The following is a 20,593-nucleotide window of genomic DNA, read 5'->3' on the forward strand; positions in this document are numbered from 1 at the left end:
GCATGTAATTATTTATTTGTAGAATGTCTTCTGACTCAACTACAAGATCCTGCCTATAATACCAAATGTCTGACACATTAAATGAATAATTGGATTAATGATAATCCAAAGTAGAATTGAGGTATTTCTGTAATCTCTATTGTGAAAGGAAAATAAAAACTGGGACCCCAATTCACTATGCCAAAAGGAAAAAATTAAGCTGAAAGCTGAGTCATGCAAGAAACTGACTTTGCTTTTGTTCCTGAGCAGATAGCTACAGATAAAAGGTCAAATATCTCCACTCTGTGTTCACCTTATCTTGTGTAAAATGCCAATTTACTGAAGGTGAGACAAATACATAATTGACTATTTCCATACTACTTCTTTTATCTTGCAACATGTGGATTTAGTAATGTGACCAGACCCTCCCTATTTCCCCTCCAGCCTGCTTTTCCTATTTAAATATTGAAGCCCTCAAAATCATCATTGGAGAAAGGCACAGATCTGTCTCCCATGCATCCTCAGCCTTGACCAAATAAAGTTCTAAACTGATTGGGATTTGTCTCAGAATCTTTATGGTTTACACTATGAAAGTTTTCATGTATTTAACTTTGCTTTACAAATTGCCCAAATTTTAAGGGTTATGTAGAAAAGTAAATATTGTGTGTTAAATCATGTTTTATTCTTAATCAACATAATTAAAACATTTTAGTGATAGAAGGAAAACTTAAGGTCATTTAATATAATTCACTCATTGCAATTTTTTTTACCAGGTAAGGGCTGGAAAAATAGAATTATTCAGTAATAGTTAATAGATGGTAGGTCAAAGCAAGAATATCTGACTTTCCTATATCTAGACTCTGTTATCCTTGACTTATAATTTTAGAAATGTGCTATATCCCTCAAATTTTGGGTCTCACTAACATATTGCTTTAAATCTTAAAACTCTGTTAGAGCATCTTTTATGTATATTTACTTGTTACACAGTCCTTATAAGAAAACAAATTTAATTTAAAATACTTGCAATTATTTGCCTCCTAAAATCTACTTCAGAGTTAACTTTTGGAATTTTTTGTTGAATATCACATTAAGAATGTTAGAGAACATTTTTTCATGTGTCTATTGGCTGCATAAATGTCTTCTTTTGAGAAGTGTCTGTTCATATCCTTCGCCCACTTGTTGATGGGGTTGTTTTTTTCTTGTAAATTTGTTTGAGTTCATTTTAGATTCTGGATATTAGCCCTTTGTCAGATGAGTAGATTGCAAAAATTTTCTCCCATTCTGTAGGTTGCCTGTTCACTCTGATGGTAGTTTCTTTTGCTGTGCAGAAGCATCATCACTGGCCATCAGAGAAATGCAAATCAAAACCACAATGAGATATCATCTCACACCAGTTAGAATGGCAATCATTAAAAAGTCAGAAAACAACAGGTGCTGGAGAGGATGTGGAGAAATAGGAACACTTTTACACTGTTGGTGGTACTGTAAACTAGTTCAACCACTGTGGAAGTCAGTGTGGCGATTCCTCAGGGATCTAGAACTAGAAATACCATTTGACCCAGCCTTCCCATTACTGGGTATATACCCAAAGGATTATAAATCATGCTGCTATAAAGACACATGGACATGTGTGTTTATTGTAGCACTATTCACAATAGCAAAAATTTGGAACCAACCCAAATGTCCAACAGTGATAGACCGGATTAAGAAAATGTGGCACATATACACCATGGATTACTATGCAGCCATAAAAAAGGATGAGTTTATGTCCTTTGTAAGGACATGGATGAAGCTGGAAACCATCATTCTCAGCAAACTATCGCAAGGACAAAAAACCAAACACCACATGTTCTCACTCATAGGTGGGAATTGAACGATGAGAACACATGGACACAGGAAGGGGAACATCACACACTGGGGACTGTTGTGGGGTTGGGGGAGGGGGGAGGGATAGCATTAGGAGATATACCTAATGTTAAATGATGAGTTAAAGGGTGCAGCACACCAACATGGCACATGTATACATATGTAACACACCTGCACGTTGTGCACATGTACCCTAAAAATTAAAGTATAATAAAAAAAAGAATGTCAGAGAAACCACATCTGTCATATCACACACAAAAAAACCTAGAAGTTGTTTATTTAAATAAATTTTTATGTAGCCAAAATCACATTCATTATTCACTTTCAGATATGATAATGTCTTTTTAATGTTCAAGGCCCTGCTAATTTCACAATATTTGCCAAATGGCTAACTGATAACAAAATAATTCCCACTTCCACTGAAGCGGTTAGCTACCTACTATTAAAACCCATCCCATTGCCACAGGCTGAGAAAAAACAAAGCCTACTGCTACACTTGCAGACAGTAATGTTTCAACCAAAGTAACTCAGATTCCTTCTTCAAGTTTTAAATTTTGGTCTGTCTTGAAATGAAAATTCGTAAAATCTTTCCCTTCCAGAAATACCAAGCACAAGTATCAAATCATTCTGTTCAATTCTAGCTGTGGAATTCTGTTAATTTCATGCAGCATTGGCGTTTACTCTGCAGAAGGTAGAGGGTAATTGCTTAATAAAGAAATCCCACCAGTTGAGTATTTCTTTCTATATATATATTGACTACAGCAATCTCTAGGCTCCAGGTTACTTATAAGAAATCAATAGACATACCAAGTTAGTGGCCCAAGTAACATATTTCTCTTTCACTTTTTCTTTCCAGTTAAAAATTACAAAGCATACACAAAGGATTTCTCTGGGCTTAATACAAAGCCCATGGGAAAATGTTGACATTGGATATACTACTTTGGGGATTCTTTTTCATCACACCATACACTATTTTACACAATCTTTTCATTATTCATCTTGCAAAACGTATCAAAAACCATTACATTTCCCTTTAATTCTGAGCCAATCACTTTGCTCTTCTAGGACATTAAACACATGAAAGTTTTAGCTGGGGTTTATTTATGCATTCATTTCTTTGGTTAAAAGAAAATCTGTGAAGGAACTTCTGAGCTCTCCTTTCACAGCTGAGATTAGAGAACCAAAACTCTGAAGCAATGAAATTTATAGAACTATAAATCACATTTCATTTTTGGACCCTGAAAAATTATAGAGATCAAGAAGTCTGATGAAGCAATTTTCATTACTGGTTCACAAGAACCCAGTCTGCTTATGTTATCACAAAACTTTTTGCGGTGCGTTAACGGGTCACTCAGGTGACTTTATGTTCACACATCACTTAGACAAAGTAAAGGTTAAAGACAACAGATATTACTGGTGTGAGATAGTATGCAGGCTGAAAACACAGTCCTATTTCTTTGAAAATCTTTGCCTCCTCAAAAAAAAAATGTGAAAAGCAGCCCCCAAATGGTTCTGCACTCCAATATGATTTTATTTCAGAATTGCTTATGTTACTAAGATTTATGAGTGTTGCTTCTCGTGAAAGAATGGCATATCCTTCAGCTCTTATTGTGGACTTTAATGGAAATAATGTGCTTTTATGGAATAAAACCTCTCTGAAGCTCTGCCTAAAACTGTTTCAAACCAGAACCTCTATACTGTGTCTGGAAAATCACTAACAGGGACAGACAGAAAGGGAGCAAATCTGTTTTTTCCATCTTCTGTCTGAAACTTCCTGTGCAACTTTCTTACTAGGATTTTTATTCCATAATAGCTGCAGAATATAAGTGATTTGCATTTTAGAAAATTATAGTGTGTGATTTTTCACATCCTATATCTCCGTTTCAGTTATGCATTCAACAGTTGCATTCCACATGATAATTTAAGGAGCTGTCAAAAAGCAATACCTTTTACAGAGAAAGACATAAAACTGTAGTCAAACCTTAATTACTCAATGAAAGACATGAGGGGGCTGATATTCTGAAATAATAGATAGTTCCAAATATTTGACATTCATAAGCTTATTATGATTTCATACAGAAGATGTCCCTTTCAAGTGAAGTTTAAATTAGGTAGTTAAATGTAGCTGATATTTCCCAGTTACAACAGCAGGGAGCTAGGGTAGAAGCCTTTGGCTTGTACTGGATAGATAGCATACCCTGCAATGTGCTACCTCTGCAGACAACTGAGAATTGAGTATTCCTCAAATATTTTCTTCACTATCCTTTGCTTCAAAATATTCACTTCCAATGCACAGTATTTTCAATCCAAGCTAAATTCTGTTTATACATTCACATCTATTTGCTGAGAATTGTAAAATCTTAGATTTGTCACAAATCTTCCTTACAATTACCCCAGTCATCTCTGTTCTTTTCAGAGATGAGAAGTTCACCAAGTCACCAACCTGACTGTTACCATGAGGAATTCCTTTACCGGAGAACATGCTGTCACAATAGGTTAAATATATGTTATACAGGTCCAAAGAATATTCATGTTCAATCTTAGTTAAAAATAAATATTTATAGTTAGTTAAATTAGGTATAGCTTTTATTTCCCACATTATAATTACCTGTATTTTTTATACTTCATGTAACATCACCAAAAATTTTAGTATTAGATAAATCAAAAAAGTTATTTGTACAAGCTTATATAATAAAAATTTAGAGATATGGCTGTCTTGTTTTTTCATTTTGCTCTCATATAACATGATTACTGTGCTATTACATAATAGTATGTACCGTACAAGGGACAATTCAAGGTAAAATATACTATGTCAATATTCTGTTTTATGAATCATTTGTCTCCACTTTATTTGTAGAATGGGAAGTTTTGTTCCAATTTTTATTATTTTCTGAATTTTATCTTACCCTAACCAAATATTTTGCAAAGAAAATTGGGAATTTTTGCCTCATGAAACTCTTTTCTCTTCTCTGTCTCCCTATGCCCCGCATCAAAAAACCTTAATTTACTTTGCTTTACTGAGTAGATTCAAGATCTCTCTTTCTCAGCTAAAAGTAATAATAAATAAATGTTTTCTGCATCTAGTGCAAGTTATGTGCTGGGAATCTAAAATATCCCAGATTAAGGTCCAATAAATCAGAGTATGTATTTGCCTGACACAAAAGAAATATATACAGATTGCATTCTGCTCCCAAATGCAGAACTCCCTTTTTGTTTGAAATTATTTTTTAGGAAGTTGAAAGAAAAGAAATGGTAAAATATTTTAACATTTTAAATTTACTTCATCGTGATTATTTCACTTATTAACATTTATAATACATCTCAGGGGAAGAGGTTGTATAATTGTTCACTATCTGTAGTTCATGAGACCTAGGAAAGTGTATATATATAGTGATGAAAAACAATTTTATCTGAAATTTGTGCTGGAAGTATAAGTGAGCTTAAAAATGTAATTGTTTTTTCATATGTAGTTGAAAAAACATATGGGTTGATTGATCGTGGCACCCAAGAAGAAATATCTAGGTCATAATCCCTGGAACCTGTGAATGTTACTTTATTTGGAAAAAGTATCTTTGCAGATGTAATTCATCTAAGGATCTTGAAATGAGGAGATCATCCTGGATTACCCAGGTGGGCCCTAAAACCAATGACTAGTGTTCTTGTAAGAAAAAAGAAGACTGAAACTTAGACAAAACAGGAAAAGACACAGAAAAGAGATGTGAAGATAGAAGCAGAATGGAGAACAGTGTGGCCATAAGCCAAGGAATGCCAACCCCCACCAGAAGGTGGAAAAGGCAAAAAAGGGATTGTCTCTTGCAGCTTCCAGAAGGTGTGGAGTCCTAATGACACCTTGATTTTGGACTTTCGGCCTCCAGAACTTTGTGAGAATAAATTTTTGTTGTTTTAAGCAACACATTTTGTGGTGACTTGTTACAGGAGCCACAGAAAACTAGTACACAGTATGAGCTCAATAATATGACTATGTGTTCATCAAATCCATGAGATGACAAATTCCTTGAGGCAAGGACCACTAAGATTTTGTTGATGGTTATGTTTTACACAGCTAGCTTGAATGAGGCAGAGTATCTAGGCACATGGCTGACCAGAAAAAATACTGTTTCCCTGTCTCCTTTGAAGCTGGATGTAGCCCAGGGGCTATTTTGAGCCAAAAAGATAAAAGCACATATAAAGTGGCAACTACAGGGATACACATTCCTAAAGAGGAGGGAGCAGTGTGATGGATGAACAGGAGACACCAACTTACTTAGGAAGTGTATTTGATTTGGTGCAAGATGAGTGTAGATTGAGAGTAGAGGCAATGCCTAGAGTAACAGTAACAGAAAAGTGTTATACAACACCTGAATGCCTACAAAGACTTTCCTATAAGAGGAGTTATGCTACTGTTTTCTTCTTATGTTACAGACAAGGTAGAGTTTTGCCACAACCAAACTTAATTCTAACTAATATACAAGATAACTGGGCCAGATGTGTTATGAGTTTGGTGAATTTATATAAATTTTTTGACAAGTATTTTATATCAAGTTGCATTCTTGGAGAAAATGAGAAGAGGAATTTACTAGCAATATTCATGAATTGAAATATTTTTGTACTCTGCCTTCCACTCACCTGCACATCAAGAGATAAGAAATGATCTATTTATATAAAATGAATTGAAATATATATTTTATTTATATTTCTCCACCTTCTGCATAAAATATTTTTATTGAAGGCTTTTATGGTGTTCATTACAATGCCTAAAAGTCAAGGTATCAACTCTAATTTCTCATTTATTATACTACAATGTAGATTTTTGTTGAAAATAACTGTAATGACATCAATGCATATCATTTTGACCCTCGAGAATTAAATTTTTTGATGTTAATTATTCATAAACACACCTTGTCTGAGCTCATTTGAAAAATTAAAAAATGAAATCATGTCTCAGCAATGTACCCAGGGTACCTGCTACCTCTGTAAAACATTCTGACTCTCTAAAATTTAATTATTGCTTCCTTACTTATATCTACATGCTACCCACTCAAATAATATTTGTTGCATTGATTTCTCTCTTTCAATTAATCCCTGCAAACAGGTTTCTTCCAGAAATATTGGGTGATTGTGCATATTGTTAACTGAAATAAATTCTGTATCCTGCATTTCACCTTGTTGCCATTATGAAATGTCAACCAATCACATTACTGACAGATGTTGTTTCATTCTACATTTCCATAGATCTAATAATATCTTTCTTTTTAATTGTCTCTTCTTGAGACAATTGTGTCCAGGTGAATGATAGGGATAAGACAACTAATTGACACCTATTAGTTTATGTGGAAAGGCCTGGGGCATAAGTAATCAAGCAAATTTTGCACTTTCTCTTTCATTTTTCCCCTCACTTAAGACTCATAATTATATTCTAATCCTCAAGATTCAAATCAGTGAAGAATTTCTTGATCTGGTCAAGCAAAATTAATCATCCCTCTTTTTGTTTCATGACTGAATGTAACAGTAGCACTCTTTTTATAAATTCTACTTTTGTGTGAAAAATTGAAGAAAAAGTTTTAATACATGGTAGTTTCTAAAACCTACTGACATTCTTGAAAAACTCCATTTAACAGAATCATTGGTACCTGATCAAGCAAATACAACCAAAGCACGGTTGCCAAGTGCTGATGGAATAAGGAAAATGGAAGCAGAGATTCTTGGGCAGTGAGGCTGTCCTGACTGGGAGGCTGAATTGTCAAGGATGTCTAGCACACATATTGAGATGACCCATCTCTCTGTAAACCTAGTACAGATTAACTTTGTACACATACTCATCTACACAATAAAAAAAACTGATAGCTCTCAATAATTGAATATTCATTTAAAAATTTCCCTGGATGGATTTACTCAGTATAAATAAGTTCAGTATAAATAAGCTCAGGGAAGAAGGAATCTCAACTTCTTCATGCAGTGTTTTTCAAAGAGAATAAAAGTCATAAAGAAGTTTGCATACATGCAGAATATTAGAAACCTTTAGATCAGGCTAGAGATGGTTACCATGAGGCATGCAATTTTTGGTTCTCTATCTTGGTTGAAGTCACTATGTAGATATTAAAAATGGCAGTGCTTAGAGTGTGGCTTTGAATCTTATGATTTATTTCTTTCTTAGATATTTTCTTCAGGAGTTTTCCCATGTGCAATCAGTATACTTGCCACTTTTCAAAATTTATTAAAACAGGGTCCTTGTATGGTTTCAGCACTCTGTCCCACACAATTAGTAGTAATTTTTATTTTCCATTATAGAGCCATTGATTACTTTTCCACATCAGTCTCTAACTGAACTAGACATTAAAAGTGAATTCTTGTTGAGTCACACAAAGCAACATTGAGAGTTATTTCGCAGCAAAGCTTTGGTGATGTTGACCTTATTTATTGCTCAATGTAAAACTTAATGTAAAACTCAGTATGGTCAGTTTCATAAAAATCAGGGCAAGACTGCAGACAGACTGCTTGATTCATTCCTTACCACAAGGAATGGACATGTATTTTCAATTCCAAGTAAGCAGTTAACATCTGTATGTTATGGCCTTTCCAAAAACCTGACAGGAATGTCATCAATGAAACTGAGAAGAAAATATTTTTGACAGACTTTTTCTTTGGCTTTCATTTTATTCCACTTGCCAAATTCAAAAAGAAAAAAAAATTCTTTCCTGTACTTTCCAGATATTTACTTTATTTAAAGAATGAGGAAATATGGGATCAATGGCAAAAGACAGGGTTGCAAAATGAGCTGCTGTAATAATCAAAATTAAGGGATAACTTATAGTCTTGGCCACAACCATTACCTAGGGTACTGAGTTAACCTTGAAATAATAGAAGAAACTAAGGGAAGGATTTTTAACAATAGCTACAATCCCCTGTACTATTTGACAACTTAAATGTGTCAAATTTATATTTTCCAGGGTGTAAGTTTGAGCAACCTGTGTGTGTGTGATTCAGGGTACAACATCACCAAATTATTCTTCATCTTAATGAGATTAACCTCATAATCTATAAAAAGGAAACTTTGTTTTTCTGTTATATACTGTGACTAGGCTCAGAGTAAAAGATCCTTATGAGTTTAACCTCATAACTACATTGCCCTACATTGCCATACATTGCCATCAGGAAGCTGCCAAATAGCTACTAAGTATAAGAGCTAGAATGTGAACCCAAGTCTTATTTAACTCCTTAACTCCAGAGTCTTTCTGTGTAATGACTACACAATCCAAATTCATAAGGAAAAGTGAAAGATGTTTCCTAATATGTAATGTGACCAGGGGATGTGTGTTAATCAATAGCCTACCAACCAAGTCTCCCAAATCTCCTCTGCTACTCTTTTCATTCATCCAGGATATTAACATTCATTCATTACATTGAAGCAAAAATAGGCTTACAAATAGGCACATCAAACAATTTTACTCTTCTGTTTTCTTTGTAATTTCTTCTTATGAAAAATTTCAACCATATCCAAAAGTAAACAATTACATAAGGAATTCCCTTGTGCACAGCTTCCAATTCATGGTCAATCTTCCCTTCCTGTTTCATATTATTTGAAAACAAATTTCACTCAATATGACATTTCATCTATAAATATTTCTATAGTTGTATTTCTAAAGTTGTATTTCTATAATATAAAGACTTAAAATCATAGCAACAATATCAATATGAACCTAAATAAATTATATTTCTTTAATATCATAAAGTATCTTATCAGTGTTCAAATTACCCTGATTGTCTCAAAATTTATTTTTAAAAGTTGATTAGTTTGATACAGGATCAAGTAAGTTCCATACCTTATTGCTAATTTGTATGTGTCTTAAATCTCTTTTAATTTATAGATTACCCCATAACATCTTCCCCTGCCCCCAGTACAAGAAGCATAGAAGTCTCCAATGAAACTCAACCCAAAGAGGTGTTCACCAAGACACATAATAATCAAAACAAACAAAAAAAAAACAAAGAAAAAAATCTGAGGACAGCAGGAAATGAAATACACATCACATACAAAAGAGTGTCAATATAACTATCAGCAGAAACTCTGCAGGCCAGTTGACAATGGAATCATATATTAAAAGAGCTCAAGGGGGAAAAAAACCCTGACAAACAAGAATACTTTATGCAGCAAATCTGTATTTCAGAAATAAGGAAGAAATAAAAATGTTACCAGACAAATAAAAGCTAAGGAAGATCATCACCACCAGACCTACCTTACAGAAATAACTAAAGAAAATTCTTTAAGCTGAAAAAAGGCTGCTAATTAATAACATAAGACATACAAAAGCATGAAACTCAAAGATGTAAGTCATATAGAGACACATTCATAATACTTTAGGATTGTAATGATGGCATGTAAAGCAATTTTATTTCTAGCACAAGGATTAAAATATAAAACTATGAGTATCAACTATAGCTAAAATAAATTTTCAAGAGATGCACATTACAAAATGATGTAAATTATGACATCAAAAACATAAAAGGGAGCGATAGTAAAAATGTAGAGTTTGTTGCATGCAATCAAAATTAAGTTACTATCTGTTTTACACAGGCTGTTATAAGTTCTGGGTAAGCCTCATGGTGACCACAAAGCCAAAATGTTTAGTATAAGAACAAAACAAAAACAGAAAAAATTCAAAGCATACCACTACAAAAAACCATCAAGCCACAGAGGAAGATAGCAAGAGAGAAAGAAACAAAATATCTATACAATAACCAGAAAATAATGAACAGAATGGCAGTATTAAGTAGTTACCTATCAATAATTACCTTGAATGTAAATGGATTAAATTTTCTAATAAAAAGACATAGACTGACTAAATGAATCAAAAAACATGATCCAACTATTTGCTGCCTGTAAGAGACTCGCCTCACTTTTAGAGACATACATAGTCTGAAAGTGAAGGGAAAGAAAAAGATATTCCATATAAATGGAAACCAAAAGAAAGCAGGCATAGCTATACTTTTATCAGGCAAAATAGACTTTAAGTTGAGAAAACTGTAAATAGAGACAAAAAAGAACATTATCTAATAATAAAGGGGTCAATTCATCAAGAAGATATAACAATGGTAAATATATATGCACCCAACATCAGAGCACCTAAATATATTAAACAAATATTAAAGAACATGAAGGGAGAGAGAGATATATAATACTAGTAGGGTATTTCAATACTCCACTTTCCACAGTGAACAGACCATCAAGACAGAAAATTAATAAGGAAACACTGGACTGACTTGAACAACACTTTAGACTAAATAGACCTAACAGACACATACAGAACATTCTATCCAACAGAAACAGAATATACACTCTTCTCAAGCATACATGGAACATTTTCCGAGGTAGTTCATATGGCATGTCACACGACAAGTCTTAATAAATTAAATAAGATTGAATGTCAAGTGCTTTTCCAATTACAATGGTCTGAAACTAGAAATCAGTAACAGGAGGAATTTCAAAAAAATTCACATATACATGAAAATTAAACATATTGCTGAATAACCAATGGTTCAATAAAAAAAGGGAATGTTAAATTTTTTCTGGAGACAAAAGAATAAAAACACAACATGCTAAAATTTATGGAATAACAACTCTGGCAAAAACAGTCCTAAGAGGAAAGTTTCTAGCAATAAAAACTTACATTAAAAAAGAAGAAAGATTTCAAACAATCAACTTAATGTTATTCCTCAAAGAAGTAGGAAAAAAGGAGAAACTAAGCCCAAAGTTAACAGAGGGAAGGAGACAATAAAGATCCAAGCAGAATTAATTAAACATAGACTAGATAAACAATCCAAAAGATCAATAAACTAAGAGTTCGTTTTTTGAAAATATAAAATCAGCAAACCATTAGCTAAAATAAGAAAAAAGAGAAAAGATTAAAATAAATAAAGTCAAAAATGAAAGAGGAGACTTTATAAATGATACCAAAAAAAATCATGACACTACAATGAACAATCATATACCAACAAAGTGGATAATCTAGAAGAAATGGACAAATTTCTAGAAACAAAATACCAGGGCTGAATTGTGAAGAAATGAAAATTGGAACACACCACCAATAATGAGTAAGAAGATTGAATCAGTAATGAAAAGTTTCCCATCAAAGAAAAGCCCAAGACCTGATGGTTTTATTGCTAAATTCTACCAAACTTTTAAAGAAGATTAATATAACATCAATCCTTAAACTCTTCCAAAAAACTGAGAGCAAGAAATACTTTCAAACTCCTTTTTGCAAGGCCAGCATTTTCTGGATATTAAAGCCAGATAGGGATACCACAAGAAAAGAAAATTGCTGGTCAATATCCTTAATGAACATAGGTGCAAAAATTCTCAACAAAATACTGACAAATCAAATTCAAGAGTGTATTAAAAAGATGGGATTTACCTGTGATATGGAATGGGTTTTCAACACACATAAATCAATAAATGTGCTATAACACATTAACAGAATGAAGGACAAACCGCACAATCATCTGATTAAATGCAGACAAAGTATTGACAAAGTTCAATATCCTTTTAAAATAAACACACCAAATTAGGGGTTGAAGGAAAATACCTCAACACAATAAAGGACCTATGTGAGAAGGCCACAAGTAACATACTCAACAGTGAAAAATTGAAAGCCTTTCTTCTAAGATTTGAAATAAAGATACCCACTCTTACGGTTTCTGCTTAACATAGTATTGGATGTCCTTGTCAGAGCAATTAGGCAAGAGAAAGAAATAAAAAACATCCAAATAGAGAAGCAAAAGTAAAATTGTCCTTGTTTGCTAATGACATGATCTCATATATAGAAAACCTTAAAGACTCTACCAAAATGCTGTTAGAACTAGTAAATGAATTCCATAAAGTTGCATGACACAAAATAAACATACAAAAATTAGTAGTATTTCTATACACTATGAACTATCTGAAAAAGAAATGAAGAGAAAAATTCCATTTACAATTGTTACAATAAATAGGAATACATTTAACCAAGGAGGTAAAAGACATGTATACTGAAAACTATAAAACATTGATGAAAGGAATGGAAAAAGACAAAAATTAATGGATTTTGTTCATAGATTGGAAGAATTAATATTGTTAAAATGACTATATTGCACAAAGCATTCTACAAATTCAATGTAAACCCTATCAATATTCCAATGACAGTTTTCACAGAAATAGAAAAAAAAGTTCTGAAACTTATATGAAACAAACAAAAAAAATCCCTGAATAGTTAAGGCAATCATGAGCAAAAAGAACAAAGCTGGAGGTATCTCACTAGCCGATTTCAAACTGTACTACAAAGCTATAATAATTATAGTAGCATGTTACTGGCATTAAAATAGACACATCAACAAATGTAACATAGTAGAAAGCCCAGAAATGAACCAACATATGTACAATCAATTGATTTTCAACATAGGTGCCAAGAATACACAACGAGAAAAGATAGTCTTGTCAATAAATGTGTTGGAAAAACTGGATATCCACATGTAGAACAATAAAATTGGATCCTTACATCACACAGTGCACAATAATAAACTCACAATGTGTTAAACACTGAAACATAAGACTAGAAACTGTAAAACTGCTATAAGAAAACCCCAGGAGAAAAACTACACAACATTGGTCTGGACAATAATTTTTTTTTATTTGACCCCAAAAGCACAGGCAACAAAAATCAACAAACAGGATTACTTCAAACTAAGGAGCTGGTACACAGGAAAATAAATGTATTTTTGTATATGGTGTAAAATAAAGACCCAATTTCATTCTTCTGCATATGGGTATCCAGTTTTCCCAACATCAGTTATTGAAGAGACTATCTTTTTCCTGTTGTGTATTCTTTTTGTTGTGGGAGAAATGGAACCCTTCCTCCTATGAGCATCTATCTTCTTATTTCCAAAGAGAGAGAAAAGTCCATTCCTCAAACAAAAGCTAAGGTTTGAAGAATAACTATTACAAAGTATCAAAGTACATTACCAAATTTTATTTTGAATGATGCCCAAGACATTGTAGTAATGAACTCTGTTCGGTATTTGGAAAACAAATGATAGAAGCTTAGCAGTACACAGGCATACAAGTTATTTCTGCACAGTGTTTGAATTTCAGTTCCTCCAGTTACTAACTTTGTGATCTTGCATGGGCTATTAACTTTCTGAGCCTTAGTATCTTTTGCTGTAGTCTACCTCTCTCATTGGTTTACTGGGGAATTAAATGAAGTCACCATAAAGAAAGAGCCTTGGACAGTGCTTGGTATATAGTGGCATAGAATATAATTGCTCTTTCCTGAGATGCTTCTAGAATGAAATTCTAGAATGGAAGCTGTAGTCTTGGGTGTCAGGCATATATTGGTTTAATTTTAATCTGGATTTCATGCCCCCTTAGTCTCGAGTTCTACATAAGAAAGACAATGCATGAGGAATCCAAAAGCTCAGAAAGGTAAGCACTTGGTATTTACAATTCCTACAACTATTTGAATCTGGTACTGCAGGACTAAGTAAACTACCAGGTCTTGTGATTCACTTAAATCAACAAAGAAATACTGAAAGATCTGAAATTATAAACTTTGTTTTGCCATTCTTGGAGCATTCCATAGTGTCATTATAGTTCCCAATAAAACGAAACATATATGTGAAGAATAATCTTTAGCAACACATCACATTAATAAAAAAAATCTGGTCCACCAAGAAACATCCTGTTATTACTAGATCATTGTACATGCCCTCTAAATGAAAGTTTTTGTCTTTTAAAAGAAATGAGGCAGATTTTCCAGTGGTCTTTAGCTGACATCTTCGGTCAGCTATGCATGGGGCACAGCTGTAAGCTCATCCTTCAAGTTTCCAATTTGTCACTGGATTTTTATTTTTATTTTTGCCAAAAACAAGATGTAATTATGATAATTCATAAGCTTGTAACAATAGCCAGAAAACACATTATGACAATAAAAACAAAATCAAACAAAATTCCCACTTTTAACACCATCTACCCACCCACTCAAAATAATTTGGGTTGTGACCGTGGCATAACTTGATTATTTGAATCACAATTGTGATTTAGAATTTAACTTAGGCAAGATAAATAAGACGTGATTTCACCAAAGTGTAGCATTTTTAATTGGTAAACATGAGAGGCATCCCACTATAAGGAAAAGAGTGTGATCTTTGGAGATAGAAGGCCTACATTAGGGACTTCACTTGGCAATCTGCTAGCTTTGTGATCTTCTGCAAGAAACTACCTTTCCAAGCTCTCTGCCCTGATGAGCAAAATTGGGAGATAAACACATTTCAAGGTTTTGTGGCAATCACAAAAGTAGGTCAAAGTACCTGGAAAAGAGTAAATAAATGTTCCCATCTGCAGTATAATCATAAAATTATTTACTACTATTAGGAATACGATAGGGAGCAATAAACTTAGTACTGCTATCCTGAGAGAGAAAAAATTTTATAGAAATATGAATGTGCTAGTAACACAAAATGAAAAGTAGACATTGTATTATACTTTTCATAGATTAATAAATACGAGCATGTATTTCCTCCAGGAGAAAATACATATTGATTTCCAGAGAGTGATGGAAGTCTTTTAAAATATAAATTATAATAATAAATTCATTTTTTCATGTGTCTTTTGGCTGCATGAATGTCTTCTTTTGAGAAGTGTCTGTTCATATCCTTCGCCCACTTTTTGATGGGGTTGTTTGTTTTTTTCTTGTAAATTTGTTTGAGTTCATTGTAGATTCTGGATATTAGCCCTTTGTCAGCTGAGTAGGTTGCAAAAATTTTCTCCCATTTTGTAGGTTGCCTGTTCACTCTGTTGGTAGTTTCTTTTGCTGTGCAGAAGCTCTTTAGTTTAATTAGATCCCATTTATCAATTTTGGCTTTTGTTGCCATTGCTTTTGGTGTTTTAGACATGAAGTCCTTGCCCATGCCTATGTCCTGAATGGTAATGCCTAGGTTTTCTTCTAGGGTTTTTATGGTTTTAGGTCTAACGTTTAAGTCTTTAATCCATCTTGAATTAATTTTTGTATAAGGTGTAAGGAAGGCATCCAGTTTCAGCTTTCTACATATGGCTAGCCAGTTTTCCCAGCACCATTTATTAAATAGGGAATCCTTTCCCCATTGCTTGTTTTTCTCAGGTTTGTCAAAGATCAGATAGTTGTAGATATGTGGCGTTATTTCTGAGGGCTCTGTTCTGTTCCATTGATCTATATCTCTGTTTTGGTACCAGTACCATGCTGTTTTGGTTACTGTAGCCTTGTAGTATAGTTTGAAGTCAGGTAGTGTGATGCCTCCAGCTTTGTTCTTTTGGCTTAGGATTGACTTGGCAATGCGGGCTCTTTTTTGGTTCCATATGAACTTTAAAGTAGTTTTTTCCAATTCTGTGAAGAAAGTCATTGGTAGCTTGATGGGGATGGCATTGAATCTATAAATTACCTTGGGAAGTATGGCCATTTTCACGATATTGATTCTTCCTACCCATGAGCATGGAATGTTCTTCCATTTGTTTGTATCCTCTTTTATTTCATTGAGCAGTCGTTTGTAGTTCTCCTTGGAGAGGTCTTTCACATCCCTTGTAAGTTGGATTCCTAAGTATTTTATTCTCTTTGAAGCAACTGTGAATGGGAGTTCACTCATGATTTGGCTCTCTGTTTGTCTGTTATTGGTGTATAAGAATGCTTGTGATTTTTGTACATTGATTTTGTATCCTGAGACTTTGCTGAAGTTGCTTATCAGGTTAAGGAGATTTTGGGCTGAGACAATGGGGTTTTCTAGATATACAATCATGTCATCTGCAAACAGGGACAGTTTGACTTCCTCTTTCCCTAATTGAATAGCCTTTATTTCCTTCTCCTGCCTAATTGCCCTGGGCAGAACTTCCAATACTATGTTGAATAGGAGTGGTGAGAGAGGGCATCCCTGTCTTGTGCCAGTTTTCAAAGGGAATGCTTCCAGTTTTTGCCCATTCAGTATGATATTGGCTGTGGGTTTGTCATAGATAGCTCTTATTATTTTGAGATACGTCCCATCAATACCTAATTTATTGAGAGTTTTTAGCATGAAGGGTTGTTGAATTTTGTCAAAGGCCTTTTCTGCATCTATTGAGATAATCATGTGGTTTTTGTCTTTGGTTCTGTTTATATGCTGGATTACATTTATTGATTTGCGTATATTGAACCAGCCTTGCATCATCACTGCCCATCAGAGAAATGCAAATCAAAACCACAATGACATACCATCTCACACCAGTTAGAATGGCAATCATTAAAAAGTCAGGAAACAACAGGTGCTGGAGAGGATGTGGAGAAATAGGAACACTTTTACACTGTTGGTGGGACTGTTAACTAGTTCAACCATTGTGGAAGTCAGTGTGGCGATTCCTAGGGATCTAGAACTAGAAATACCATTTGACTCAGCCATCCCATTACTGGGTATATACCCAAAGGACTATAAATCATGCTGCTATAAAGACACATGCACACGTATGTTTATTGTGGCACTATTCACAATAGCAAAGACTTGGAACCAACCCAAATGTCCAACAATGATAGACTGGATTAAGAAAATGTGGCACATATACACCATGGAATACTAGGCAGCCATAAAAAATGATGAGTTCATGTCCTCTGTAGGGACATGGATGAAATTGGAAATCATCATTCTTAATAAACTATCACAAGGACAAAAAACCAAACACCACATGTTCTCACTCATAGATGGGAATTGAACAATGAGAACACATGGACACAGGAAGGGGAACATTACACTCTGGGAACTGTTGTGGGGTGGGGGGAGGGGGGAGGGATAGCATTAGGAGATATACCTAATGCTAAATGACGAGTTAATGGGTGCAGCACACCGGCATGGCACATGTATACATATGTAACTAACCTGCACACTGTGCACATGTACCCTAAAACTTAAAGTATAATAATAATAATACAAAATAAATAAATAAATAAATAAATGCTTACATTTTACATGCATAAATAAGTAATCAAATACAATCAAAATTGGAATTAAAGCAATCCAAAAAAAATTTCTTGGGTTGAATATATGTTTGATTGAGTTAGAATTTATTTCAGAAGAAAACAATTTTATAGACTAAGATTACATAATGAAGACTATTGATATTTATTTTTACTTTTTATTTATATGATGTTCTACCTAATGCTAATATCTTTAAAGTTGAAACAGTTGTACTTTTGGGTTGCTTCAGGGTTATAAATTTCTATACATTCTACACAGGTCAGATATGGAGAAAATTTTTTAAAAATTAATCAATGAGAAGACTGAACATTTTTTAGCCAATCTATTAGCTAATAGAAAATATCACTTTGCCAAGTGAGTGTAATACAGCATGCGCAGCCCTTTTAAACCTCAAAGTAAAATTCACCTGAATTATATTTATAAGAATAACAAAAAACAGAGACAAACTATTTAATATTTATAAAAGAAACCTTACAATTTATTTTTGTATGCCAGAGATAAAAAAATCACAAAAAATTAAAGAATGAGAAGTTATTTTGTTCTACCTTTACAACGTGTCATGCAACATAATCCAGCAGTCTGAGACATGATTGAGGATAACTCCTCTACTAAACATGCAGAAATGGAAGATAAAATGTACCAAAAGTTTTAAAAATAAGTACTTGATGTATAAATTAAGAACATGAAATTCCTGGATTGCAGACACAAAAAAGAAAGTAAAATCTGAATAATGAGAAATACCTAAAGCCTAGTATCTCATAGTACCTTGAAATCAGGTATACAAAGTGCAGCCTTGAAAAGTGCTTGAGTAATGCACAAATGTTCACAAATAAAAGTTCTGGCTTTGGAGTTGTGAAATATTCCTAATTCAGTATTATTAAACTCATGTAACTCAGAGATAATGTTTTTGCCCTGTCTATGACCAGGAGCTAAACAATAGTACTCTACATAAAGATAGTCGCTTATTTTCCATGAAACAGGAGTCAGAAAAATTTCACCCAGTAGTGCCAAGATGCTGCAAGGAACAAGGAAGACAGCTTATCTTTTATTTAGAGTAATAGCTGGCGAAAGAATCACTCATTCAGAGAGAAAATGGACTCAAAGCCAAAATTCTTCATGCAATGCAGTAATCTCAAACTGTGTAATTAATGTCAATAACCATAAAAACCTTATTTGTCTTAAAGTGAAATATGTTAGGTCCTTAAAAAGACAATTGTAAAACCACATAATAGGAATGACTCCATATTCTAGAGAACCTGTAAATATCACTAAAACTCTCCAAAGGTAAGCTCAGTAAAATTTTACAAACTGCCATGAGAGAGACAATAGATACAAAAATGGAAGAATTTACATATGAAGAATTACAGATATTAGAGACTCTCTGAAAAACAGACTTTAATCATCTACAATTTTTTAATAACAATAAATAAAAGCATAGAATCCATAAGGCAAAAGGTAGACATTATGGAAATAAAACAGGTGGGTTTGCAAAATAATTTTTAAAATTACAGAAATGGAAATATAGTCATTAAAATAGATTGAATATTAAAGTAGACAGAGCAGAAGAGAGAATTGGAAGATAGGTCTGAAGGAATGACTGAAACCACATTGTATAGAGATGGAAATTAAGAAAAAGAGGATAAACATGGGTTGACCAACACACATTTAATCAGAGTTACAAAAGGAAAGGGAAAGAGGAAAAAGGAAATATTCAGGGAAATGATGAATGATATAGTTCTAAAGGAAGATATGCATTGTTAGATTAAAAAGAAAAAACCTGAGGTCCAAGCAAGATTAAAAAAGTAAAATTACTACACTTAGATACTTTATAATGACAGTAAAAATAAAATTATTTTCAGGCATTCCAAACATTAGTATTTTTTTTAACTCATGGCACATGATGAAAAACTACTGAAGAGTGTATTTCAACAAGAAGGACTGGGACTGGGAAAGAAGTAATGAATATAAGAAGAAACAGAGGCAACTAATCATATGGTAAAATGTTCTGTAAATTTAACTAAGTATTGGAGGTAAAAGAAGATAATGACTAATGGACTTGTGGTTCAGGACATGATAGGATAGTGCCCATCAAGTTACCTCCCACTGAAAACAACTATAAAAGATGTAAAGTATTAAACAGCAATTGAAACAAGCAGGTCATGAGGTGCTAGGATCCTTGACATGAGAAAAGTTCATGAGGTTGGTTCCGCATTTGCATGATTTTCCTCAGTTCCAGAAGATGGTTTTTAAAAATTATTTCTTTGATTGTTTACTTCCCTAGTCATTTGCTCTTTCTTTCTGTTTTCCTAGTATGAATGTCAAAATCCTGCATTGTTCTTCCTTCAGTTTCAACCTTTCTCTTGAAGGTTTCTTACTTTCTTTTATATTTTGGAAAATTTCTTTTACTTTTCTTGACAAATCTTCCACTACATTTTTTATTTCAGCTTTTACATTTTTACTGACATCTGTTTAACTCTCTAAATGGCCTTTTATCAAAGGATTCTATTCTCTTTTATGTATTTAACATCATACTATATCAAATAGAATTATTTTTTGTGTTCTCTAAAATATCTGTTTTCCTTAGTATCAGTTTTGTTTTGTTTTGTTTTTTCCAATTGCCTATTCTTTCTTTTTTGTTGTTGGTTTTCTCAAACATTGAGTGATCCTTATGGGTTCATTCGTATTTATGAACAAATGGCTAGGCTGGTTAATTTACAGATTCTTTTACTCCAAAGGCTTTTCTCTGACTTGA

At 33.3% G+C, this 20,593-nt stretch overlaps 2 long non-coding RNA genes across 8 annotated transcripts in view; one reads left to right on the forward strand and one right to left on the reverse strand.

Moving 5' to 3' along the window:
• Positions 1 to 20,593, reverse strand: part of LOC105377407 (uncharacterized) — a 218,744-nt gene that overhangs the window by 182,638 nt on the left and 15,513 nt on the right. The window lies entirely within an intron of this gene.
• Positions 1 to 20,593, forward strand: part of LOC105377406 (uncharacterized) — a 129,167-nt gene that overhangs the window by 31,522 nt on the left and 77,052 nt on the right. The window contains exon 4 of one of the 7 annotated variants that reach the window (XR_001741817.2): positions 9,711 to 12,013. The exons of 3 other annotated variants lie outside the window; for them this stretch is intronic. This is a non-coding gene — a long non-coding RNA (uncharacterized LOC105377406). 3 more of the 7 variants (XR_001741819.2, XR_001741815.2, XR_001741820.2) reach the window with 3 other exon arrangements.

Source organism: Homo sapiens, chromosome 4 (assembly GCF_000001405.40).
Source record: "Homo sapiens chromosome 4, GRCh38.p14 Primary Assembly".
NCBI classification, from domain to species: Eukaryota; Metazoa; Chordata; class Mammalia; order Primates; family Hominidae; genus Homo; species Homo sapiens.